The sequence below is a fragment of the Homo sapiens genome, chromosome 7, assembly GCF_000001405.40.
Source record: "Homo sapiens chromosome 7, GRCh38.p14 Primary Assembly".
Classification (NCBI taxonomy): domain Eukaryota; kingdom Metazoa; phylum Chordata; class Mammalia; order Primates; family Hominidae; genus Homo; species Homo sapiens.
In genome coordinates, this window is record NC_000007.14 from 120,836,805 (window position 1) to 120,864,219 (window position 27,415).

The 27,415-nt window shown below is 39.3% G+C and overlaps 1 protein-coding gene and 1 long non-coding RNA gene across 5 annotated transcripts in view, besides 2 other annotated features; one reads left to right on the forward strand and one right to left on the reverse strand.

Annotated features, from left to right (window-relative positions):
* The window catches only part of TSPAN12 (tetraspanin 12), a 71,016-nt gene extending 49,485 nt beyond the window's left edge, over positions 1–21,531 (reverse strand). For 2 of the 4 annotated variants that reach the window (XM_047420096.1, XM_005250239.4), the window contains exons 1-5: positions 21,430–21,531; positions 21,016–21,184; positions 19,894–20,029; positions 3,223–3,305; positions 1,973–2,108 (exon numbers count right to left, since the gene is read on the reverse strand). In XM_047420096.1, the coding sequence (XP_047276052.1) occupies positions 1,973–2,108; positions 3,223–3,305; positions 19,894–19,959 (285 nt within the window). In that variant the 5' untranslated portion in view covers positions 19,960–20,029; positions 21,016–21,184; positions 21,430–21,531. Of the gene's footprint in view, positions 1–1,972; positions 2,109–3,222; positions 3,306–19,893; positions 20,030–21,015; positions 21,341–21,399 lie in introns of those variants that run through there. The other 2 variants (XM_047420095.1, NM_012338.4) reach the window with 2 other exon arrangements.
* LOC124901733 (uncharacterized) overlaps positions 20,031–27,415 on the forward strand; it is a 45,306-nt gene continuing 37,921 nt past the window's right edge. The window contains exon 1 of the long non-coding RNA XR_007060491.1: positions 20,031–20,404. This is a non-coding gene — a long non-coding RNA (uncharacterized LOC124901733). The remainder of the gene's footprint in view (positions 20,405–27,415) is intronic.
* Positions 20,283–20,502: a silencer, noted in NCBI's record as "fragment chr7:120497141-120497360 (GRCh37/hg19 assembly coordinates)". NCBI's record gives its function as "represses an EF-1alpha promoter that drives an FKBP-Casp9 reporter gene in an ReSE screen in HepG2 liver carcinoma cells {active_cell/tissue: HepG2}" and the evidence as "EXISTENCE:reporter gene assay evidence [ECO:0000049][PMID:32094911]".
* Positions 20,695–20,994: a silencer, noted in NCBI's record as "silent region_18573". NCBI's record gives its function as "represses an Ori minimal core promoter by ATAC-STARR-seq in GM12878 lymphoblastoid cells {active_cell/tissue: GM12878}" and the evidence as "EXISTENCE:reporter gene assay evidence [ECO:0000049][PMID:35858748]".

Genomic DNA, 27,415 nt, shown 5'->3' on the forward strand with positions numbered 1-27,415 from the left:
CTTCAAGTAGCAGGCCACATTACTTTGTTGTTTGTCAATTTGCATTACTAGCATCTAAGCAGCCTAAGGGAATGCATAAAGAGTTTTCAAAATGTGTTTCCAAAGCCTTTGTGGTTCCATGAAATACCTGACCCTACTTGCCCTGCCTCCCTCCAGCATCCCACTGCATAGGGACTGTGCAGAGTAAAAGTTGGGAGGAGGGAGGAAATGGCAGTCAGACCTTAATTGGTTATGCAAGAGAGACATCATTGTAAGACTGCGTTTTAAAAAAGAATTCTGAGACTCTTTATTTAAAACTTGAAATATGTTATACTCTACTCAAATTATAGAAGGTTCATGTAAAGTAAGTCCTTTTGTTTATGTTTAAATTATTGCCCAAATATCTAAAATTGCAAAATAAGATCCCAAATTTCCACCATTCTCCCTTTCACTATATACCTATATGAAGAGAAATAAAGCAGTAGGCATGTTTCCCCATCTCTGAGTGTGGTTTATTTTATTCATTTATTTATTTTTTTTTTTTTTGAGATGGAGTCTTGCTCTGTCGCCCAGGCTGGAGTGCAGTGACGTGATCTCGGCTCACTGCAACCTCCGCCTCCCGGGTTCACACCATTCTCCTGCCTCAGCCTCCCGAGTAGCTGGGACTACAGGTGCCCGCCAACATGCCCGGCTAATTTTTTTGTATTTTTAGTAGAGACAGGGTTTCACCGTGTTAGCCAGGATGGTCTTGATTTCTTGACCTCGTGATCTGCCTGCCTCGGCCTCCCAAAGTGCTGGGATTACAGGCGTGAGCCACCTTGCCCGGCCTGAGTGTGCTTTATTTTCTATAGCATTTTGTGTTTTTCAATATTCGACCTGAACAGTTACCCTCCAAGAAGCTAAGTAATACATTAACACAGGTTATACTGTGAAATTCAAAGCTTTAGTTCAACTTCACACTAAGATTCTGTTTTAATTGACTTGGCATGGGAGCCAGTCAAGCACGAGTGTGTGGGAGCTGGCTCCTTGAGCCAATTTGTACTCATCTGTCCCCAGTTCCACATTCAGTGATTTCATGTTGGTAACTTAAAATTGACCATGCTGGGAGAATTTACCCCACGGAAATCCCCAAATGCTACAAATCTGAGCTTTTTTTCTGCCCAGTGATCCAGCTTACCAGCACACCACTCAAATTGTTTAAGTTCTTTATATGAAATTAATACACAGCCAGGGCTGAGACCTACTATAAAAAAAGCGTATACTCAATGAATTAATTTTTCAGCCTTATATGTCTGCAACTATATGTTAGTAATCTCATTACCTGGTGCCACTAGTATATATTTTGCACATTAAGTGCTCTTCTAAAAATATCTATATAAACAGTATTTTAATCAACTCAATTTTTTAATGTTAAAAATGTTTGCCTACTTTTGAATTAAAAGACTAGTCACAGAATTTGAATGGTGAAACTAATTTAAAAAGTACCTAGTGCAACTCTCAGAGTTAAAAAAACAACAACCAAGATTATAGAAACTGAGACTCGCTTATGTTCTCTAAACTATATAAAGGCAGTGACAGGACCATTACATACGTCTGCTACCTCACAACCTGAATTTCCATAGGAGCTTACAGGGTGGATTTGTTTAAAAATAGAAGAGAAAGAAACAGTTCCTTTATGGCTTCTCAGTTCCAGTCCCAAGGGGCCTTTTTGAGTGCTAATAACTACAAGGACACTAGAAAGAACTCATACTTTCAAATGAAAATGTCAACACGTAGCTGGAGTGAAATAATTAAATTGCTTATATATATTTCCATACCTCATCCGGTACAGCAAATATGTGTATTCAAATAATCTCTTGTGAAACGAAAGCGTCCCTTCTTACAGGATGTTGTTACTGCTATCACTGCTCCCTAATCTTGTGAACTGATTAAAAAATAATATATTACTGGTTAATCTTTTTAACTATAATAAAGAGAAAATATAACATCATACCCATGCAAGAAGCAACAGATTTCTTTTCACCGTTCCACAATATCCTAACATCCCCACAATGATAAGGAAACAGCAAACAGCAATCATGACCGGATGAACCACAGGAAAGTAAGTCAAAATGACTGCTTCCTCTACCCTGAAAGAAGAAAAATAATGTATTAGAAAGAAAATATAATCAAAATGCACCCAAGACATAGCAGAAGACACAACTGTGATTTGTGTTAATAATTCTTTCAATCATGATGCCTCAAAACTAGTGACTGCATTGTTATTTTCAAAATCACTGTGCTATTGTTTTTATGTTTATTTGCTCGGTTGCTTTATTTTTGGTTTTGCAGTGTTTGTTTTTTTTAATACAAGTGGTAGCTTTCCTACCCCAACTCATTTAACATATAATATACAGGACCTTGATAAAAGGTCCATCTATTATTATCTCCGAAGCCTTAGCCTAAGTAAATCACATGGGAGCCTTTGCTATTTCCCAGCTGGGAGGAATCTCCTTCCTCTTCTCTAATTTTTGATCCCATGTGCACTACGTTTCTTCTCCCTGACAATTGATCCTCCCCCAAAATGTAAAAGACTGCTATGCAAAGGAAAATCAATCTACATTTAAAGAAAGGAATAGGTAGAAATGATTTTTGCTAGAACACGATGAAAAATTCATTAACCGAAACCAGTATTAATGATAAAAATTAACCATTATTAAGCTAACTTTCCCTGTGTTAAGGACTTGAAAAAAATGGTTTTCATTTAATCCTTACCACAATTCAGATGTCATATAATACAATCTCCATTCAGAGATGATGGAGTAAAAAGTAATTTGTCCCCTGTGATGTTAGTAGATTAACCCTTGAAATTTGAGAAAAAAAAATCATTGTGGTGTATGGTTTTCATTAACCCAAGAATATGAAGGTAAGAGGAAGCTGACGGTAATTTTCTTAGGGAAAAGTAACTATGCTGGTTCTTTACACGCACCTATGACATGGCTGATGCACAATCAGGAGGACAGGCAACTGCTATTACCATACCCAGAAATGTCTGTATAAACATGCTGCCACCTGATCCCCTGCTAGGACCAGAGGCGCACCTTAAGGAGAATTCTGGAGGATGCAAGTGTCTGTGACAAAGGTTGCTATGGGCAGGAAAAACTTTTCCAAAAGATCAAGGAAGAGCACTACCATATAAATAGCTGAGGGCAAAGTTACTTAAAATCAGCAAGAAAGAATTCAATCAATAATTATAAAGTATACCTCGTTTCTGCAGTTAAAGTGAGAACATTATTTAGGTAGTCCCTCATCCAAGCAGAAACTGCCAACACACTGATGGACATTAACTGGGGAGAAAAAAGTACAAACCGGTTACCAAAGATTTACGTAACATTCACTGCAGGATTAATAATAGGAAAATTAAGGATTTTGTTACATAATATCTTTCCCAATTACCATTTGCTGCATCTTGAAATTTACTATTACTATAAATAACTGCCATTCCATTTTGTAATCATGTCCTAGGCACCAAATGGAATACCACCCAAATGGGATACAGAAAACAAAACTATTAAGTGGCTGATCCCAGGTTCAGGACAGAAACTGCACAAGATAAGGAGGCCACAGAACAAATAAATTATCAAACATATAAGATGTGTCTAAAACACATTGTCATTCTTAAAGGCAAGGAAGCAATTAAATACTATTACTGAACAATTAAATATTGTCAAAAAAAGTCACAAGTTAATTTAAAACGACTTCTATTGGCTAAAATTCAAATAATTTAAGCATTAAAATGATAGTAATAGTAATAACATTAAATGTAATCCTTTGATTCATAAAGCGCTAAAGTATATAAACTCATACACATATATGTGCTAAAGTATATAAACTCATAATGAACAAAATTCTCTGGTCTTTGTAGAAAGTTGAATACTCAACTCATTATTCAGAAAACTGACAAGAATCTATCATTTCTCTTTATCCTACTTTTCCTGTACAAACTAAAGGAAGAACAAAGGACTTGATTAAACTTTTTATGGAAGAATTTCTGTAATATTTGCAGGAAGCATTCTAGAGCATCACCATTTAACAACCTTTTCTCAAATAATGGATCTCTAGAAAAAAGATCCTCAATGGCTGCAATTTTATCAGGTCATTGGTTCTCAATCCTGTCTGTACATTTGAATCATTTAAGGCTCAAAAAAATTACTGAACACAGGTTTATCCTGGACTAATTCTAGGGAGTAGGGCTTGGGCATCAGAAATGTGTAGCAACTTCACAGATTCTAACAGGCAGACAGGGCTGAGAACCACTGCATTAAATGAAAGGCTGGTGGGAAGTCAGAATAGAGAAAGTAGGCAGATGATCCAGACCACACTGGTCACTCCTAGTGTCACAAAAAGAGACAATTACACATAATGTGTCTCCCAACATGGTACGGTCAGAAGCACACAGAAATTCCTATGAAGTATTTTCACCAGAAGGTCAAACTTGAATCAAATCAATCCTCCTGCACTATCAGTCAATACAAAAATACATGAAATAGATTTAAACATGTTAAATGCCACCACGGGAAGCAATTAGCAAAATCAAGCATATGAGAAATTTTACAGGACAAATGACCTGCTTTCTTGAATTGAAAAAAAAAATTGGAAAGTTAAAACAAAAAGGAGAGAAGGAGAAACTCTTATAGGTTAAAATAGATTTAAGACATGACCCAGTGCAATACATTGACCTGGTTTGGATCCCGATTCAAACAAATCAACTACATAGAAACATTTATGATACAACTGAGGAAAGTTTAACCCTGAATGAATGTTTGGAAATATTAAGAAACTACTTTGATTATTTTAGGTATGAGAATATATTATTTTTTAAAAGGTCTTTATTTTCTAGACTTATATACTGAAGTAATTTTAAATGAAATATATTGATATCTATATTTGTAAGAAAAAAACCGAAACATAATGATGACTGGGATATGGTTTAATAATTAACCATGACCGGTAGAAGTTAGGTGGGAAGTAGAGAAGGGCATGTTGATAATTGTTGAAACTGGGTAATGAATAATTGGGGATTAATTACACTGTGTTTTTCTACTTTGGTACATGTTTTAAATTTTTTCATTATTAAGAAGAAGTCTTCCTGGGAAGCTTTCCTAAAAGCTGCATATTATTAACCCCTAAGTTCTGAATGTCTTTCCTATTTTGATGGAAATCTTTTTGAAATGTGTATTTATCTTCTTAAGTACAATGTAGGGAAATTCGACTTACCCTGATTTTTAATAATTTCTGGCATTGTAATGAACATCACTTACCATTACTTGCTACAGCTTTAGCTTTAAATGCTGATACAATGAATATACAGAAGGTAGAAATGAGTCTGCGCTAACTCAGCTGGTGGCCATGAAACGTGCTTTCTGCATGAAAGCTCCAAGGTAAACAGACTGTGTAGAGCTCTACAGCTTTGAACAGTAAATTATGGCTATCTGCTTGGAAAATCAGCTAGTGAATTCACACTTCCATCATTCATTACAAATATTTACCCAACAATTACTATGTGCCTTGGACTGGGCAAGATTCAGAGACTGACAATAAATAAGAGAAATAAGATCCAGGCCTTCTTGGAACCTCTTGGGGAACACAGGCAATAATTACACAAAGAAGACAATTACAAACTGTTAAAAAAAAAAAAAAAAAAGTGCCCTGAAGCACAGAAAAGGGAAATACCCTGCTGAAGGTCTCTCAGATCCTGAGAGGTAAGAGCTGGGATTCAAATTCAAGCTGTTGGGCTTCGACGTGCCAGGGTTAGTCACTGTCTCCCAAGTTGAGAAACAGGCATGGTATGTTTCACAGAGGGTAAAAACACTACCCTACACAGCATGTAGAATTCCTTTTTAGAAAGATGGGCAGTGGGTCTCCTGCAGAAGTCAGGTTCAGTTTAAATGTCTGAACTATTTTCTTTGGTGAATGGGAGCTCAGTGGTTCTTGACCTGTAAATACAAATGTATTTCGATATAATTAATTTCCTTTGTAAGCCAATACATTTTGTTTTGTGGATTAAAATACAGATTAATAGTAATATTATATTAATTATATTAATCTTTTATAGAAGAATTTCTGCTAATATTTGTAGGACGCATTCTAGAGCATCACCATTTAAAAACCCTTTCTGAAATAATGGATCTGAAATAAAATTCAGATTATAGTAATTAATTACTATTAGTAATTAATCACTGTTAATTAATATTACTATTAATCTGTATTTTAATCCACAAATTAGAATACAGTTTAATATTCTGAAAATTATAAGACTGTCAAAGGAGTCAATGGCCTATAAGTTAGGTTAAGAACCCTGGGACCACATTCAAGAGTAGAATTAGGCCAGTTATTATTATTCTCATGTCTGTTAGAAGTGAACAGATTGTAAAACTCATAAAAGTTATAAGTGAGTCAGTCGCAGTGAATTAGCCATGTTTCTAGCTTCTTTTGATGCATTAACATCTGTTCTGCATATATATGCCAGACACATCCTGCTCTGGAGAACCTAAAAATGTGCCTGAGTCACCTTGCCTTGGCCTGCTGCCTCCCTCGTTGCTTGTTCCATCCTCAAGAGGAGATGTTCTCCCAGGGGTGCACTTTTCAAATACAAACCATGCAATCCAGAATCCAAACTCCTAAGTACCTCCCTTATGGGGCTCTCCCACTTAGGGGCCACTACACACCTGCCCTAATCACCCCAAGGCCAATTGTTCAAACTGGCCAATCCTAAACCCACTTACCTGCCTCACCTATACCTTCCCATAGGAACCATGGTATAAGCACTTGCCCACAGTTCCCATCTCTCTTTGTGCCTTGTGACTGACCCTAGTGTTTCCCCTCTTGGCCCCCCATAATGAGATGTGTACTCCATGTCTTGGGATTTACGAATATAATAAACTGTCTTCTCAATGGCAGCCATCTCCTGGTCTGTTGGCCTTGGCATACCTAATTGACAGCAGAACATATTAAAACACACAGAGCTAGCAGAAGACTGTTGGCTCTTTGATGAAATCTGTGGGCACATGTTCTCCCTCTACTTGGCTATATGTGGGTCCTTAAAACCTTGTAAGTATCTCCGGGACAGAAAAGTCTATTAATGTGGTGTATTAGTCCATTCTCACACTGTTATAAATACCTGAAACTGGGTAATTTATGAAGAAAAGAGGTTTAGTTGGCTCATGGTTCCTCAGGCTGTACAGGAAACATGGCTGGGGAGGCCTCAGGAAACTTTCAATCATGGTGGGAGGGGAAGCAGGCACATCTTACATGGCCAGAGCAGGAGAAAGAGAGAGCAGAGGAAGGTGCTACACATTTTCAAACAACCAGACCTCTTGAGAACTCACTCACTACCAGAAGAACAGCAAGGGGAAAGTCCGTCTCCATGATCCAATCACCTCCCACCAGGTCACTTCCACAACACTGAGGATCACAATTCGACATGAGATTTCGGTGGGGACACTAATCCAAACCATATCATTCAACCCCTGGCCCCTCCCAAATCTCATGTCCTTTTCACATTCCAAAATACCATCATGCCTTTCCAACAGTCCCCCAAAGTCTTACTTTGATTCCAGCATTAACTCAAAAGTCCACAGTCCAAAGTCCCACTTGAGACAAGTCAAGTCCCTTCTGCCTATGAGACTGTAAAATCAAAACCAGTTAGTTACTTCCAATATACAATGGAGGTACAGGCATTCACTAAACAGTACCATTCCAAAAGGAAGAAACTGGCCAAAACAAAGGGGCTACAGGCCCCATGCAAGTCCCAAACCCAGCAGGGCAGTCATTAAATCTTAAAGCTCCAAAATAATCTCCTTTAACGCCATGTCTCACATCCAGGCAAAACTGATGCAAGGGGTGGGCCCCCAAGGCTTTGGGCAGCTCTATCCCTGTGGTTCCGCAGGGTACAGTCCCTGTGGTTGCTTTCTTTCACAGGCTGCCATTGAGTGCCTGAAGCTTCTCCAGGCACATGATGCAAGTCGTCAGTGGGTCTATCATTCTGTGGTCTGGAGGAGAGTGGCCCTCTTCACACTGCTCCACTAGGCAGTGCCTTAGTGGGGACTCTTTGTGGGGGCTCAAACCCCACATTTCCCTTCGGCACTGCTCTAGTAGAGATTCTCCATGAGGGCTCTGTCCCTGCAGCAGACTTTTGCCTGGATATCCAGGCATTTGCATACATCCTCTGAAATTGAGTCAGAGGCTCCCAAGTCTTAACTGTTGCCCTCTGTGCACCCACAGGCTTAACACCACATGGAAGCTGCCTAGGCTAATGGCTTGCATCTTCTGGAAAAGTGGCCTGAGATGTACCTGGGCCCCTTTAAGCCACAGCTGGAGCTGAAGCAGCTGGATCATAGGGAGTAGTGTCCCAAGGTTCTGCAGGGCAGCAGGGCCCTGGGCCCAGTCCATGAAACCATTCTTTCCTCCTAGGCTTTCGGGCCTGTGATGGGAGGGTCTGCTATGAAGGTCTCTGAAATGCCTTTGAGGCATTTTCCTCATTGTCTTGAATATTAATATTCAGCTCCCCTTTGCTTATGCAAATTTCTGCAGCCAGTTTGAATTCCTTTCCGGAAAATTAGTTTATCTTTTCTACCACATGGTCAAGCTGCAAATTTTCTAAACTTTTATGATCTGCTTTCCTTCTAAATATAAGTTCCAGTTTTAGAACATCTCTTTACTTACATATATGACCATACATTTTAGAATCAACCAGGCCAAATCTTAAACACTTTCCTGCTTAGAAATTTGTTCTGCCAGATTACCCTAAATCATCACTCTCAAGTTCAAAGTTCCACAGATACCTAAAGCAGGGGAACAATGCCACAAGTCTCTTTGCTAAAGCATAGCAAGAGTGACCTTTATTCCAGTTCTCAGTAAGTTCCTCATCTTCATCTCAGACCACATCAGTCTGGACTTCATTTGTCAATATTACTATCAGCATTTTTATCACAACAATTTAACTAGTCTCTAGAAAGTTCCAAACTTTCCCTCATCTTTCTGTCTTCTGAGCCTTTCAAACTGTTCAAATTTCTGCCTGTTACTGAGTTACAAAGCCACTTTCACATATTCAGGTATGTTTATAGCAATGCTCCATTCCTGATACCAATTTTCTGTATTAGCCCATTCTAGCATTGCCATAAAGTAATACCTGAAACTGGGTAATTTATAAAGAGCAGAGGTTTAATTGGCTTATGGTTCCACAGGATGTACAGGAAGCATGGCTGGGGAGGCCTCAGGAAACTTTCAAACATGGTGGAAGGGGAAGCAGGCACATCTTACCTGGCCAGAGGAGGAGTAAGAGAGAGAAGGGGGAGGTGCTACACACTTTTAAATAACCAGATCTCTTGAGAACTCACTCTCTACCATGAGAACAGCAAGGGGGAAATCCGTCCCCATGATCCAGTCACCTCACACCAGGCCTCTCAGCCAACATTCAACATGAGATTTGGCAGGGACACAAATCCAAACCATATCATGTGGTATTTTATTTCATTATCTAAAATTATTTTACAGTTATAAAAAACTCCTCTCTTTATCACTCTTCAAAGTAATGACTGCTGTTGGTTTCTCTGTTCTATACTGGCTTTATAGGCTGTTTAGCCAGTTTTCAGTAACACAGCTTTTAGTCGTGTCAAAACATTATTTCATTCTTCATAGTGTACAATTCATTATCAGTTTAGTTACTACATATAGGTCTTCCATTTTTAACAACAAAAAAAGTGTATATCTTTTAAGTGGTGTATTCCAAGACATTTCTTATATGGCAGGATGATTAAAAGCCTGGGCTTTGAAGTCATTCTTCCATTCAAAAATCATATATTGGTCACCCACTCTTTGCCAGGCACTGTGCTATGTGTTAGGGATACACTGATGAACAGTAACAGACACTGCCTCTGTGGTGCAATTAACTAAGTGAAGAGGACACAGGTTAATCAACTTATCAGGGATATAAATATGTAACAGAACTGTAACAAGCGCTGAGAAGACATAGTACAAGTTTCTGTACAAATTCCTTTGGGAGGGCCTGACCCATTCCACGGGGTCAAAGGAACTTCTCTAAGAGAGCTAAGATCTAAAGGATAATTATCAAGTTACTCAGGAAAAGGAGGGTTGAAAATAACCTTCTGGTCAGAAAGAACAAAGGCCCCACGAGGGAAGGCAACATGACATGGTAAGCAAAATTGGCACATGGTGAGAAGGAAAAAGCAGGCAGGGGTGAGACTGCATGGAGTCTTGGAAGCCATTTCAAGGTATATCAGCTTCACCATCATGACAATGAGAAGCCACTGAATTTTGAATTTCAGCTAGGAATTCCAGCTCTACTGCCTTTTAGCTATATGACATTCAGCTTGAACTTTCCTATGCCTCAGTTTTCTCACCTGTAAAATGATATAAAAATAAGTCCTACTTCATAGAAGAGCTATATGACAAAAAAAAAAAAAACAAAAAACCAGAGTGAGACTCTCATATACATAACCTATAATTACTGCAAGTCACTTTAGACTTAAGGGTTTTCTCTTAATCTTTCTCAGTCAGTCTGAAAGATTAGACTATTCCTAAATCAATTCAGAAATGGAATCTTCAGCTGTTTGAAGGTCTACCAGATGGACAAGAAAGGAAACTCTGGGATATAACTATCTATCATACTATCACGGTCAATTTCAACATCTCTAACACTAAACTTACCTCCATTCCTCCAAAACCTGTATGTCCCTCCCACTGTTTTTCCTGTAAATGGTATAATCAATCCTTCAATCATGTAAACTAGAGACTTGGCAGGGAAGCTGAACCTCTCCCTTTTCCTCAGCTCTATATCTAATTAGTCTCAAGTCCTTCAAATTGTTCTGGCAAGGCGTCGGGTGAATTCCTCCCCCTTTTCTGCCACAACTGGCTAGTTCAGGCCTTCATCCTCTTTTGCTATCCAACTATAATTACTTTATAATAGAACTCTTCAGCTCACAGATTTCACCTCCAATTCACCCTTCGGTTACTTTTATAGAACATAGATCAAGTTCTTCTGCTTATAGCTACCCTTTATGGTTCTTCTTCAACTACCATTTATTTCGTCTTCCCTCAACTGCCTCTGAGAGAACAAAGTTTAAACTCTTGAGCAGGGCACACCAGGCCCTCTTCAGCTACCCCTTAAACTTTTTCTTAAACCGTGCTTCCTGCCAGCTCTTTCCTAGACACATTCTATATATGGAAAACAACAAAACTGCTTGCACATCTCCAAAATGCACCATGCACACCTCCCAGTGCCTATACATCTTCACTCCTGCAGTGCCTTCTGCCTGGAATACCATCCTGCCCCAGCTTTCCTGTTCTCATGTGCTGAGCAACATCTACTTTTCCTTCAAGCCCAGCTTGAACATCAAGTCCAGTGTAAAGATTCTCTCCCAACTCCCGCCTTACCTACAGATCTTTTCCCTCTTAATGCTCTTTGCAAATACCTCATAAAGCAGTTATCCTATTGTTCTTGTTTCTGTCCCTCCATCTCATCCCAGTAGAGGGCACAGAACATGGCCTATCTCCCCATCACACAGAAAAGTACCAGGCTCAGTAGTGGTGCCTAATATAGGTTAGGTGAGTGAATGAGAAAATAATTAAATTAAAGGGAGATGGTTTCATCCTGCTAGATAAGCTGTTAGAGATTTTTAAACAAATTAGAAGATGTTTTAATAAGAACCGAGCTTTCTATCACTGGAAGTTTTCCAGAAGAAAGATGGTTTCTGAAAAACAAAGTCAAAGATTTATATATCAGATTAGAAGCTGGCTAAAGTGTTCTCAAAAGTACTTTAAACTAAAACTTTGCACTATACTCTGTCCCAATGTTTTTTTTCACAGGAGTATACCCAAACATTGCAGCTGTGCACAGAACATTAGTCAAAATAAATAATAACACCAAGCCTTACTCTATAGTAAACAAGCAACCCTGGGAATAAAATGGCTTTTTCTCAAGGAATTGATTCCAGCAACATTAAATGTCTGAGAACAGTTTCATCCTCAACAAGTGAGGCTTTACTCACTGGGCTTGAGAAAATGATAACAATAAAAACAAATATAGTGCATGCCTATAGCAAGAAACTGAACTAAAACGAGACTAGGTCAACTCAATAACTAAACCTGATATTAAACCTAGAAGCACAACTTATGTGAGGAATTCAGGACTCCTTGCTAAACATGTTATTTTCTGCTAATTTTCCAAAGTAACTATGAAAATAATCCTTCAAATGCCACTCACATTGGCTAAATTATTAGGAACATTATAGTTATCACAGGCAGCTAGGTTTTATAGCTCCTTTTGCTTTCTCCAGTATTGCAACATGTTACCTGAAGCTCAAGGAGATATTTTAAAACTAAACAAAGTGTTACTTGATAGAAATACATTTAATATATTATTTGGCAGGACATTTGTCACAATGTCTCTTGCAAAATACTTAGAAAGTGCTAGCTTTCAACAAATATTTGGAAACATAAAATTTGCAGTGTTGAGGACATGGTCTGCTTTTGCTTGCATCTAATTATATAAAAACAAGTCTTGAATCAAGTTGTTTTCTGAATCAGAATTGTATGTGTATGCGCATTTCCTAAGTGTATTATGAAATGTGTACCTATAATTTCCATAAAATAGTAAGGTCACGGTCAAGAAACAGTCCTTTCTATCTTTAAACTGTCTGCCATCTGTAACATATAGTCCCACATAAGATGACAGTGACACAAATAATTTCTGTTCAAGGATGACAGCTGTCTAAAACCACATACCTAAACTTTTCATGTCAAACCTGTTAGCAAAGAGAGGAACATAAAAGACCTGAATCTTAGTTACAGCTTTGTCTGTATAGAAAAGGACTTCGACAAATAATTCAAACTTTCATAATTTTTATTGGCTAATCTTGAAAATGGGAAAATTGGACCAGAAGCTTTCCTTCTTTTAAAAAAGAATTTAAATTTTTCTGGTGTTTTTTTCTGTCTCCTAGGCATGATCATAGCTCATTGCACCTGGAACTCCTGGGCTCAACTGATCCTCCTGCCTTGGCCTCCCAAGTGCTGAGGTTACAGGCATGAGCCACCATACTTAGCCTTTAAATTGCTATTTGTTAAAATGTAAAAGTAAGATCAAGCCTTGATTATTTGGAGGCTGGTCACACGAGGTGAGTCACACGTGTGTTTCATGTTGCCAGGCCTGCTCCCTTTTGCCTTTTTGTGAGTCTGTGCCTTCTCAGCTTCCCTCTACCAGGGGAAGGGCAGAAGGAAAGAGAGCAAACAGGTAACACTATTTGCTAAAGCTGTGAAAGAATAGGCAATGTAAATGATGGCTGAAATACAGTCTGGAGATTACTGGTGGGTATCATTTCAGAATGAACATCAATTAATTAGAGCTGAATAAATCAGTATCACCCTGGAGCTGTTCTGACCGATAGTTTTTCTAGACCACCATGTTTTCCTATAGATAGGGTGACCATGCATCCTGATCTGACCAGAAGAGACCCACTATAAGCCTCTGTTGTTTGGGCATAATTCTTAGCAGAAACATCCCCTTTTCTTCAGTCTCCACATTGTCCTAGTTGCCATGATAAAGTATATGATCACCCTAAAGTCACTATAAGTAGAAGAAGAGTAAAATGCCTCATTCTACATGATAGTTTCTGTGCAGTCTAACTGCAGTAAACTCCACTTCCCCAGTGTCCCAGCTCAGGATTATTCCCTGAGTGGAGTCAATGAGGGAGGAGCCTATTGCTCAGTATGCAGCAGAATGTGCTATGAAGAATCTTCCATGTACTTCTCAAAAAACATTCCTTAAGAAGCATGCAGCGGCTCAAGTCTTTGCTCAGCTGAGCCACAATGTATATATAAAAAGGTCGATCAGCTTTGCTCTGAGACTAAAAGATTTTTTTTTTTTTTTGAAATAGAGTCTCACTTTGTTGCCCAGACTGGAGTGCAGTGACACGATCTTGGCTCACTGCAATCTCCCCCTCCCAGGTTCAAGCAGTTCTCCTGCCTCAGTCCCCCCAGTAGCTAGGATTACAGATGCATGCCACCACACCCAGCTTATTTTTGTATTTTTAGTAGAGACAGGGTTTCGCCATTTTGGTCAGCCTGGTCTCGAACTCCTGACCTCAGGTGATCCACCTGCCTGGGCCTCCCAAAGTGCTGGGATTACAGGCATGAGACACCGCGTCCGGCTGACTAAAGGAATTTTTTATGGTGAAAATTTATTTTAAAAGACCACAAATATTTGTTGGAGGGCTTTCCACTATTCCTTAGGAAGAGTTCAAAAATACTTGAATACCATTCATAGCGTAAAGTTGGGGACACCAATTTAAAATGTAGTATTTTAATATGATTCATAAATGTCCTTCCTGTGAATTCAAACTTCTACTTGCCAAGGATCTAACTCTTCAGATTCTGTGTGGATCAAACACTTAAGGTTCACTACGGATGGCCAGAGAAAAAGAAAGAGAGCATTGAGCCTCCTGTCATTTCATCTGCCACGCATATATCTCAAAAGCATAAACTAAATTTCCTGTCTACTTTTTTAGACTTTCTTTTATAAGTTACTTTTCATATTTAATCAGGGTAGTTCTTCTCTATTGCTATTATCTTTAGTAACGGTAAGTAAAAAACAATGGTTCTTATATAATGGTGAGATATGGGAGTTTATATTATACATTTAGAAAATTAGAAACAAACACATATTTGATGAATTTTAAATGTTCACCAATGTCAGAAATTTTCAAGGAGAACCATATTTATCTATATTTGCAATAATAGAAAATTACCATCTAAGAAATACAAATGACCAAAAAGCTACAGAAACTGTCTTTAAAATGGTAGAAAGCTCTCATTTCTTTAAATAATATGCCATTTAAATTTTACTAGTAATAAAAGCGTATAAATTTGAAGGAAAGGTAACCCACGTCCTTACTCCACCATGGAGAGAAGGTGAATCATGGTCTCAAAAGAACCCTCAGGCAGTTCACCTACCCACACCATCTCCTATGTGCTCCTTCCCATCACAGACCCACAATACTCATGACAAACCTAGAAGGCCCAATACTTTTGTGCCGACCCCAGTACAATAGTACTAGAATCTGGCTTCTTCATGATGTGGAAAAGACACTCTACAGATGGCAAATCAAGGTGACTGGATCCATACAATAAAGAGAATGCAGAGCATGTGTGATCTTGAATGTGCTATGGATTGTTTCTTCTTAGACGCATTTATAGCTTACACTTAAAAACACATCTATGCCTTACATTTTTTAAAAAGTACTCAAGATATACTTTTTAACTTAAAAAAAAAACTCTCAGTTTGATTTTTGACTCTCAGAACAGGAAAACAAAATTGAATGGGTTCCCAATGTTTTTGTGATTAAGATTTATTTTTTTTTCCCTAAAATCCTAGTGGGGTAGAAAAGGTAAGAAGGTACCAATATAGTAAAAATAGATTTAAAAAAACTAAGACTACTTAAAATGCCAGTGGAGAGTAAAAGCCTATAGCTTTTCACCTCATGGGTAATGGGGACAAGGTTGTCAATCTTGCAGACCCAGAGGGAGGAACAATCTCCCTCTCCATAGTCAGAATGTAAAGTCTGGTTTAAGAAGTGGGGTTCATATGCCACACTGGTTTGTTCTACTTGTAATTCCCATGAGAACTAAAAGCTAGTATTAAAGCCTTGCTCCTCAGGGTGTGGCACTCAGACCAGCAACATTGGCATCACAGAGGAGCTTGTTAGAAATGCACTCTCAGATAGAACGCACAACATACTAAATCCAAATCTGCATTTTAACAAGATCTCCAGGTGTGCATGCACTCTGAGGTTTTAGAAGCACTGTTCTAGAGAACTTGGAATGAGCAGGTGGACAGCTAATCCCTTCCTTCTGAGGATGTTTACTTGACTTCTCTCATGCAAATAAATCCATCACTGTTTCCAGCAATTTAACTTCTACTACACTTGGATAAAAAACAAAACTGGACTTTCAATTCCTGTTCTGCTACTTACTAGCAAGTTATTGAACTACTGAGTACCAGTTTCTTTATCTAAAAAAAAGAGAGAGAGAGAGAGAGACTAAGAAAGAAAACTATTTTATGGGTCTATTATGAGAACTAGATGAGAGTAATGTTAACAATGGCCAGGAATGTCTCCAGCACAGGCTGAAAACACCTTCTGACTTGGTAATGATAGGATCTGCAAACATTGCCTTAACACTGAAGAAGTAAAATCAGTTTCCCTAAAATTAGCCTATTATACATTTCATACTATTCTAACAAAAATCCCAGCAGATTTTTTTTTTTTTTTTTAATTTGAGACAGAGTCTCACTCTGTCACCAGCCTGTAGTGCAGTGGGGCAATCTCTGCTAACTGCAACCTCTGCCTCCCAGGTTCAAGTGATTCTCCTACCTCAGCCTCCTGAGCAGCTGGAATTACAGGTGCACGCCACGACACCCGGCTAATTTTTGTATTTTTAGTAGAGACAGGGTTTCACCATGTTGGCCAGTATGGTCTCAATCTCTTGACCTCATTAACCACCTGCCTTGGCCTCCCAAAGTGCTTGCATTACAGGTGTGAGCCACTGCACCCAGCCTCAACAGATATTTTTAATTGGATAAAATAATCTTAAAGAACATTTTTAAAAACAAACCTTAACCAAGTCAAGAAATGCAGATATATATATATATATATATATACACACACATATTTATATTTAGACATATATTTATATTTATTTTTATACATAATATATTCGTATTTATACATATAAAATCCTGTAGAAAATTATATTACAGGCCGGGCACAGTGGCTCACACCTGTAATCCCAGCACTTTGAGAGGCCGAGGTGGGTGGATCATGAGGTCAGGAGTTCGAGACTAGCCTGGCCAATATGATGAAACCCCATCTCTACTAAAAAATACAAAAATTAGCTGGGCATGGTGGTGCACACCTGTAGTCCCAGCTACTCAGGAGGCTGAGGCAGGAGAATCGCCTGAACCCGGGAGGTGGAGGTTGCAGTGAGCTGAGATTGCGCCACTGGACTGCAGCCTGGTGACAGAGTGAGACTCCGTCCCAAAAAAAAAAAAAAAAGAAAAGAAAAGAAAGTTATATTACACAGAATATAGAAAAGTTTGTTTAACTATTGTATAGAAACAGATAACATAAATGAAATTAACACTTAAAATATAGGGCAAACCTAAATGATAAATATGAAATAGTTAATGAATATGAAATGAAATGATGTATATGAAAAATATACATAAAATGATGCTCCTGCTCACTGGTAGTAGGGTAGGTACAAAATAAAGTAACAATGAGATAATACTTTAAATGTTTCAGATTGGCAAAGATTTAGAAGTGCCATATTACCAACAAGATGGCAACAAATATTTTTGTACATATAATGGGGTAATTACTGCTTTTATTTCTAGGGAACAGATACCCAGAACAAGATTGTTGGGTCAAAGGAATTGCAGTAGTGGTAGCAATAGTAGCAGTATTAATCATAACAGTAACAATTACTATGATTAGTACCATAATGATAGTAGCAATCCACCTCCTGGTAATCTGCTAGAACATCATCATCATTGTAGTAGTTATAGTAATAACTGCAATACTGCTATTGCAGAGATAGCACTTATTATGTGCCACTGTTCTCAGCGCTGTATATATGTTAACTCTAATCCTCCTCACAACTCTAAAAGATAGGGAACTATGATTCCTATTTTACAGGCTAGGAAACAGACACTAAATGTGCCTGGCAAACATAGTAAGAAGCGTTAGCTATTTTGTATGTTAGTTAGATAGGTTGGCTACTTTTGTTTTTGTTGTTGTTATCACATACTTTTTTACATAGCAATTCCACTCCTATGACTCTAACCCAAATGAGAAACTAATTTAACAGCAAAAAAATCAAGAATTTACATGTATAGCATTGTGTATCTGTTGTGGACAGGTATGAGTAAATCTATCTTTGTATGAAACAAAATAAAGAAAAACGTATACAAGATGCTTAACCTGGATTATTTTGTTGAAGCGTAGGTGATATTGGGAGAAGAGGAGGGCTGGAGAAATAGGGAAGCAATCTAAATAAGTCAATAAACCAGAACACACTCACACACACACACCACACACAAACATAGAAAGTTAGAAGGTTTAAGTACAGGGTAACAACAAAGAAATAACGTTTACATTCTCTGGGGACACAAAGAGCCCTGGAAGAGTTTCAGGAATAGGTGCTTTTATGCAAATTTCATTTCCAAGAGGAGTGATATTTTTGTTGAATGATTTGGTTCTTTTTTCCCACACAATGTAAAGTATTAACAAATTTTTCAAAGCTTTATTCTTTATTAAACAACAACAACAACAATCTTAGTAATTCTAAGGTTCAAAACTCAGTAAGGGTCAAGTGAAAGACACTGTCTAGGGGCAAGAAAGCTGAATTCTGTTCCTGGCACTGCCACCATTGGACTATCTGATCTTTGGCAAGTCACTTAATCTGCACTTAATTTCCTCACTCACAAAGGAAGGACGTTCAACCAGGCCATCTTTAAAGCTCCTTTTAGAAGTGGAATGTGATGATTCTATAATTAAAAAGCACAATGTAGAAAAGTGAAAAACTAGTAAACAGGAGTGATAATTATCATACATCTTAAAGAAATGGAGTTTAAACTCTTAATAACTTTTAATGATCCAGGTAATTTAATGATTCACTTAAAAATCAAGCTTTTAAGAAGTATAAACTACAATAAGATCAACTTGTGATTTTACATTTCCAAATGGTGAATTTAACTACCCAATGCTTTAATTTTGAGAAATTAATGCTTTAATGTTGAGAAAAGGAATGCTGCCATTTTAGATATTTTCAGATTACTCACTGAAGTAAGACTTAATTTATCCTTTAAAATGGGGCCATCTATAAGGTGCAGTTCAACCTAAATGTCATCTTCTAGAGACCACATGTAATAGCCCTATGAAAAAAAGGCTGGGCAATGCCAGCCAGTCAGCACGCCAGCCAGTCAGCCACATAAATAAATTGCACAATAAAATTTGTAACAGAAAATTTTGAATAAAATTATTAATAGAACACAAAAAAATGGAAAGAACAATTTGCTTAAGAATGGCAGCCTCCTGAAGCAACATTTACTGTTTAAATTGTTACATTTTCCTAAGTTTTATAAGTAATAATACGATTATTAATCATACTTTATTAAGATTTAAAGCATAAAAAGTCATTAACTCATAGGGCATAAAGATTTCCATGAGCTTGTTACATTTTATGTATTTTATTTCCTTAAATGGTTATGGGATTTTCCAAAAGCATACACACAATTCCTTAAACTTTGCCAACTTAGAATTAGTTACATAAAAATCACCCTTCAGACCGTATGGAATCCCCTAGACAAATCTACTCAGCCTTTCTGTGATAGGTTATCTGGGTGTGAATTCCACCACCACCTCCCCCTCGTCCCCGCCCACAAAAAATATATTAAGACTTGGCCCAACTAGATTTTACAGGCGACAGAGATGTAAAGAAACAATTTATGGCTTGCACAATTATCTAAAATTCCCGCAAACAAGCAGTTCCCTAAGTAGTATGTCATAATTTTCTTATCTATGAGTAGAAGCACGTGCATTTATTTATATCCCTAGATTAACTTCAAGTCTAATTTTACTGCCAGTAGTATCCAGGGGTGGATTTCTTTGTTCTAATTACAAATGGAACTTGAGCTAGATCAAAGGCATTTTAAGAAGGTCAAATTTTACTTCTCTGAAAAATAAAGGGTGTTATCCCATGTAATTAATTAATGCTTAGCCATGCCCTTTGGCGCATTATCCGGTGGCTGCAGAAAACCAGAGCCAGCCGTTCCCACCTGTTGGTGCAGTGAAACTTACTTACCCAAAAGAGCAGATTGAGGGCGTAGAGCAGGCAGCGCAGACACTTCACGGAATCTTCTCTGGCCATTGTGAGCCCCGTAAGGGAGAAGCCCCATCCTTTCACCACATCCTACTCCCAAGGGCAAAACGGCAGCGATCTGCAGGGGGCGGGGGAGAGAGAACACGGGACATCTCACCATCACGCTTCCCACAGCCTGCCCGTCCCTCCTCCACCCGCCCTCAGCAGGGTCCAGAGGGTCCCGAGGCCCAGTGCATTCGAGACATCGCCTCATCAAAAATCATTTGTTAAAATCATAATGGTAACTAAACTCCCAAAAGTTCCAAACCGGCTTCAGATAACACCTGCTGGGAAAAGAAAAGAGCAACTATCCGGATGAATGAAGTCGCACAGTAAACTCGCGTTCTCAGGGGACACGCGGCGGAGCCCTGTGCATTCTGATGAGACGCTCTTGAAAACCTCCCTCACTCCACGCCCCTCCTCGAGGACAGCTGTGCTCGGCACTGTCCTGAAGGTGAGAAACCACACTGCCCCCTACCCCGGACACGTCAGAGGCGCCACCGGCAAGCCCGAGAGAATGAGCGCCCTTCTAGTTAGGACAGTTCCTGGGCACTCCAACTCCGCACCCCTCTACCCCGTCCCGCAGCTCGGGTGTGAATGCAAGGGACTGGGGCGGCGGGGCGGGGGCGGGGGCGGGGGCGAGGGGGCAGCGCGGAGTTGAGATTCCGCCCGGCTACTAGGGTTTCTCTGGGAGAACGTGAGAAATGATGTTTTCGGCCCCAGAATGATGGATTAGCCTGGGACAGTGGGCGGGGGGCGGGGGGCGCCGGGGAATTAGGGCCGATGCAGCTGTGCAGACGCCGGGTTAGTCATTCAAACCCCGCTTCCCCCGCCCGGGACGCTCCCGCGACCCCTCGCTCAAAGCCGCCCGCGGAGCACAAAGCGAGCGCGGCCACCGACCCAGCCATCGCGTCCGCGCGCCCCCGGCAGGGCGCGAGGGGAAGCGCCGGCGGCAGGGAGCCCCAGAGCCAGCCCTTAAGTAGTTTAGCACACAGCGCGGAGGGCAGCCGCCGGCGGGCTGGCGGGACAGCGGGCAGGAAAGGCGACAGACGCGTGGCCACTTACCGTCGGCGCTGGGCCCGGTGCCCCACGCCCGCCTGGGGATAGTCGGGGACGCACGGCGGGGGCTCATCGGGGCAGGGAACTTCTTCGCGGAGAGCCGGAGGGCTGCATTGGCTTCAGCTGGAGACGCTTCTTTCTCTTCCTCTCCCCCCGCCGCCGCCGTCGCCGCCTCCTGGGAAAAAGAAAAAAAAAAAAAAAAGTCCTGGGCAGCAGTTGCTGGAAAGTCTCTGCTAAGCCACCTCCCAGCGCCGCTGTCCCTCCCAAGTCCTCTCCGAGTCCGGACGAGGCAGCGGCGGCAGCCAGGGCCAGCTGCACAAACTCTCAGCGCATGCTCGAGCCGCTGGCTGCCGGGGTTGGGTCCTAGTGGGTGTTTCTTGTCCCTCTCACCCAGCGAGAGTCCCCAAAGGGACGCTTCACCTCTGCAGGATAGGGTCCAGAAGATAATGCCTAGGAACTTGGGAGAAGTCCGTGCAGTAAATCCCTTTAAAATGGTGGCGTCGAAGGAATGGAGGCTGGGTTATAAGCATAGAGAAGCAGGCTTTTATTATATGATAATATTTGTGTTTGAGAAGGGGGGTGAAGGGGTGGCCCAACCCAATTCCTGCAATGAGAAACTAGTTTTCACAACCTTTATGGAGCCACCTCCTGTGATTTGTTATTAACATGGTGCCCTATGATCCTTCTTATTGCTTTGTTGCCCTCCCGGATTTTTTTTTTTTTAAGTTCTTTCCCACTTTCATAGTGCACTAATAGCATTTACGGAAACATCAGAGTAATCATGTGCAGTCTGACATGCAGAAGAGGAGGAAAGAACATTTTTAACTCTTAGAAGTAACTCAAGCTTTCCAAAATTTCTCACGATAAGATTGTTTTGAGTTAACTGGGTGATTTATTTTGAAATGTGTACATAGTAGTGGATCTTTGGAAAATCTAATTTTTTTAAACTAGAAATTCATGAAGTATTACACAGCAGGAGACCATCCTTCCAAAAGAATCTTCCCTTTTAGAAGACAGAAGTTTCACACTAAATAAAATGCCACTGGATCATATCCTCCACATAAAATGTGGATGTGTTGTGCTATGCCTCACAGTACTGCTCATTTCTAGGATTACTTTTGTGGGCACTGCATGGCAAATAAAACTTCACCAGCAAATATGAATTACCTGGAATACGAGCAACATCTTTGACCTAATAACTGGAGTCCTTGGATTTCCTTGCAGAAAAAAAAAAAAAAAAAAAAATGGAATCCTATGTCCATGACTGCCTGTCTAGAGTTAGTTGCTGCATGACTGGAGTGACAATAAGACATGCAGTCTCATATGGAAAAGTCAAGACCAAAAGACAACATGGTTGTCCTGGGTTAGGCTAGGAAAATTATTGGTAAGCAAGTCACTAAGCAGTATGTAAGACAGCAACCCAAAAGAGTATAAAGAAGTATAGCCATACACAAAAAAAACACCAAGAAACATGTCCAGTTATCCATCAGATGACTCCAACTCTGATAATGAAGCAGCTTCTAGAATACTGGGGAAGAGCAAAGAAACCCACTTTTATCCTCTGCCAGTTTCTTCTCAAATTAGGGTGCATGCCTATTTTAAGCAAAGGACTGCTGAAACAACCAGCCATCCAAATGCTGTTGGTGCCATACATTCCCCGGAGAGGTATAAACATCCCCGCATTGAAAGGAGTCCATGACTGCTATTAAAACTGAGAAAAAGAGTGCCAACAATTCCCATGTGTCAAAGCAGAGATCCTCTTCTACTCCTAGAAGGTAGTTAAGTGCCCTTTCCTTAATTCGTATACCTTTAAGGGTCAACTGCCTTAAAGTAATAAAATACTAGAGGAAGTTACTTTAGAAGTATGCATGTCCTCTTCTTCCTGGTAAACAAGAAATACAGATCCAAGATAAAGTAGTTGCTCAACGTCACATCTGTAGTCCAACCTAGATTCCAAAGTAAAATCCAGAATAATGGCTCTTAGTACTCTAGTTTAATGGTTCTCGAAATTGTTGTACACGAGAATCACTTGGAGAGCTTTGAAACAACCCTAATTCTCTGGCATGCCTGATACCACTTAAATCGGAGTCTCTGCAGGTGAGGCCTAGACACACAGGGTTTTCCAAGCTCCCAAGGTAATTCTAGTTTGCAGCAAAATTTGAAAACCCTGCAACGAGGGCTTTACAGCTGCCTAAAAACTAGCAAAAGGGTCTCTTTAGATTTCGTTGGATCAAATCCCTCTCCTGTGAGTCGATAAATTGGGATTATTATCCCCATTTTACAAGTTAAGAAGAAAACAGAGCTGTAGTTACTGCTCTAATATTCCTGATAAATGGTCATCAGAGACAGTGAATCAACATTTCAGTAGAGGAGACCTCACCACATTTGAGACATTGCAGTAATGGGCAGTTTTTATTGCTTAAACTTGACCATACCACCTTTTAACTTCTACCCTTCAACCTTAGTTCCGCCCTTGGAGTCCATGGCATGAGCAAGCCTTCCTCCCATATGACAGCCCTTCAACTACTTGAAGGCAGCTGTTCTTCCCTCCCTCTCCAATTCTTCTCTTTCCCAGAATTGTGGAAGCACAGTAAGACTTCACATCGCAGCTGTCATTCTGAGGGTTCTATATTTTTCTCTGTGAGATCTGTTTTTTTGTGTGTGTGAACAAAAGGAGGATAGAAATATCATAATATGCACATAAAAATTTGAATATGTAATAACATATTAGGAAAATTGTATGGTCTATTTACTACCCATTAGTCAGGAACCCAATTCTGTGGCCAGGTGTTCTCCAATAAGTATCATTTCAGTGGTGGTATCTACTGTGCCTCATGCTGAAGATACTAAGACAAGTTCTTACCCTCCAAGAAAAGGCAAAACTATCCTTTCTTATTATATAATAATAATAACAATAATAATGACATCAAAAAGTAATAAAATAAGCATTTACAAGGAATCACATACATGTCAGTCCCAGTGTCAGGAGTAAAACTCAGCTATATGTAAGAGAATACAAGTTCCTCACTCCGTATGGCAGCTTGTTTGTTCATATCTTATTCTATTCATTCTGCTAAAGTTGTGGAGAGAAAAAGGATAACACAGGAGTTTGGATGTATGAGTTGCTATTCCTTCTTAGTACAAGACCCTCACAAGTACTCCTAAGCCAGTACTTTACAATTAATATGGGATAGACACCTAATGTGTTTTGAACAAATTACATGTGTCTGACATAATAGGTGCTTCTCACAATTTATCTTATTAATTCCTCATAACTATATGTTGAGATACTTGAAATCAATTCAGATAGCTGATTTTTGCCAGACCCACACAGGTAGTAAATAAAGAAGCTGAGATTCTAAGATCTGTCTGATTCTTTCCACTGTTTATCTGCATTACAATAAAATTTCAAATCTGGTTGGACAAGACTTAAGAGGAAAATTTTCGAACTTTTTAAAGTTAGTTTTCGAGAATATGAAGCTGAAATTCAAATATGTGTACTTAAACTATGACTGGTAAATCTACTTTCACCTCACTTCTAAAAGAGTATACAGACCTAATAAGACCTGAGAAAATCCTTTCATTACTGAATTAAGTAGACTGCTTTCTACTGTAAGCTTAGGATTGCCAGATAAAATACAAGACACCTCATTAGATTTAAATTTCAGATAAACAACAATTTTTTATTTTTTGGTATAGGCATGTCCCAAATGTTGCATGGGACAAATATTGCACTGGACATACATATACTAAAAAATTATTCAATGTCTACCTGAAATTCAAATTGAATTGCAAACCCTACATTTGTATTAGTTGAATCTGGCCTCCCTATGCAAACTAGCAAATGCACTCAAAGAGCCACAAAAACAAATATGTTTCACATAACAATGAGTCCAGGAATAGCGATTCATCTGCCCAGTAGTGATATCAAGGAATCAGTTCTTTTTCCTCCTTACTCTCCTGACACACACAATGAGTAATCATACTATACTCAGGTACCTCCTCTTATGGTCACAAGATGGCTGTGCAAATTCAAGCATCATTTTCAGTTACCATTACTTCCAAAGGAAGAAGGTATTTTCTCCTATGAGTTTCTCTTAGGATCTAGCAAACCTCTCCCAGGAGTTCTGCAGCAGATTATCCCTTTGATTGATTGGCTAGAACCTGGTCACATACTCATATATCTACCAATTATTCACAAGAACTATGGTTCTACCATAACTGGTTTGTTTTGTTTTGTTTTGTTTTGTTTTGTTTTGTTTTGTTTGAGACAGAGTCTCACTCTGTCACCCAGGCTTGAGTGTAGTGGCTCCATCTCTGCTCACTTAACCTCTGCCTCCCGAGTTCAAGTGATTCTCATGCCTTAGCCTCTCGAGAAGCTGGGACTACAGGTATGCACCACCACGTCGTGCTAATTTTGTCTTTGTAGAGACAGAGTTTCACCATGTTGCCCAGGCTGGTCTCAAACTCCTGTCCTAAGGTGATCCACCCACCTCAGCCTCCCAAAGTGCTAGGATTACAGGTGTGAGCCACCATGACTGGCCAGGTTTTAAACCAATCAAGATGTATTACCTGTGCCTGGGACAGCCCTTCTCTAAAGCACAGGGCCAAAGAGAGGAAGGTAGATAACTGAACACAGTCAGATTTTTATTTGAACTGAGGGATAGAGAAAGGAAGGCATAGTACCATCCTCTCTCCTGTTCACTGCTAGGACAACCCAGCTCTCAGCCAACCATTTTGGGGCACTACTTAGCAAAGTTTCTTAGTTATTGAAAGAACCACTGAAGCAGGAACCTCATGGCAATAGCAAAGGACCCTGAGAAAACTCGTATCACATCATTTCCATCCCATGCCATAAGCTTACTTTCAGCATCGTCATTTGCATTTACACACCAGGTAATTCTTTAAAGAAGTGCCCAAATCAGTACCCTCCTATGAAATCCTAGAAAACTTTTCTCTTAAACTTTATTGAAACCTGACCTTCATGCAAAGTTTAGAAATTTGGACTCACTTCACCCACAGATTTAATAAATATTTATTGAATTGTTACTACAAACTCAGAACTGTGCTAGGAGATACCAAGAGTTCTACCATAATTTTGGCTCTCAAAAATTTATAACTTCATTAGCATGCTTCCTCTTCAGAAAGCAAAATTTATAGAATATAAGAGATCTTTTGTCCAGACTTGGTGGCTCATGTCTGAAACCCCAGCTCTTTGGGAGGCTGGGCCAGGAGTTGGAGACCAGCCTGGGAAACATAGCAAATCCCATCTCTACAAAACATAAAAACAATTATCCAGATGCTGTGTGCCCACCTGTAGTCCCAGCTACTCAAGAGTCTGAGATGGGAGGAGCTCTTCAGCCCAGCAAGTCGAGGCTGCAGTGAGTCATTATTGCATTGCTGCACTCCAGCCTTAGCAACAGAGCAAGACCCTCTCTCTCTCTCTCTCTCTCTCAAACAGCAACAACAACAACAATAACAAAGAACTCTTCTCTTAATTTTCAGTTATTTGAAACAAAATGTAAGGAAAAGGAAGGAATACACGTCTATTTACAAACAGCTGCCAATTTCTACTTTTCTCAGAAAGATCCCTCAGGAATTATACTGTTATTCCACTACATCAGCTTTTTGTCACACCCACAATACAACTGGGGAAAGATAATCAAATAGTTACCAAGAATATTAGATATTTGTCTTCGCCTGCTGCTCTTTTCATTTTCTTGGTGTGTTTTAAAACTTCCAGCTTACTCCAATGCTGTACTAAATAAAACACTTGTTTGTGACACTAGATAAAATCTTTTGTTTTTAAAATTATTTCTAGCTGGCTAATCCGAACTCACAAGTGTCCTCATCCTACCACGTGTAAAACAACCATTTGATTATTATTTGTGTGTATGTATACTAGCAATAACCATGTATGGAAAACTGGAGATGTTGTAAATTCTCATTTCAAATTTCATGGTTTGAATGTAGAAATGATTGACTGATGAAAAAGAAAAAAAGTTAGTGTCCTTGGTTTCTTCTAGAAGAATGCATTTCTTCTCAATGCATTTGTTTTCGCTGCAAAGAATTATTATTTCTAGCAATTGCCGTTATGTTCTATTATCTTTGTATGGTTAGTTTTCTTTTGTAGAAAGCAATGTTAACTGATTGATTACTACTCACAGCAATAAAGGAAGATATATCATGTCAGCAACATAAGACACCCATAAATAACTCATACAGTTAGTTTATTGACTATACATATTTCTATAATTTTCATCTATTTCTTGGCTTTATCAGCAATATTATTCCCTATAACTGACTAGAGAAAATACTTGGGATATAGTATGTTTGATTTAAGAAACATACATATTTTTCCAAAATGACTGCTAGAAATTAAATTATACATTTTGTTGTGAGTTTT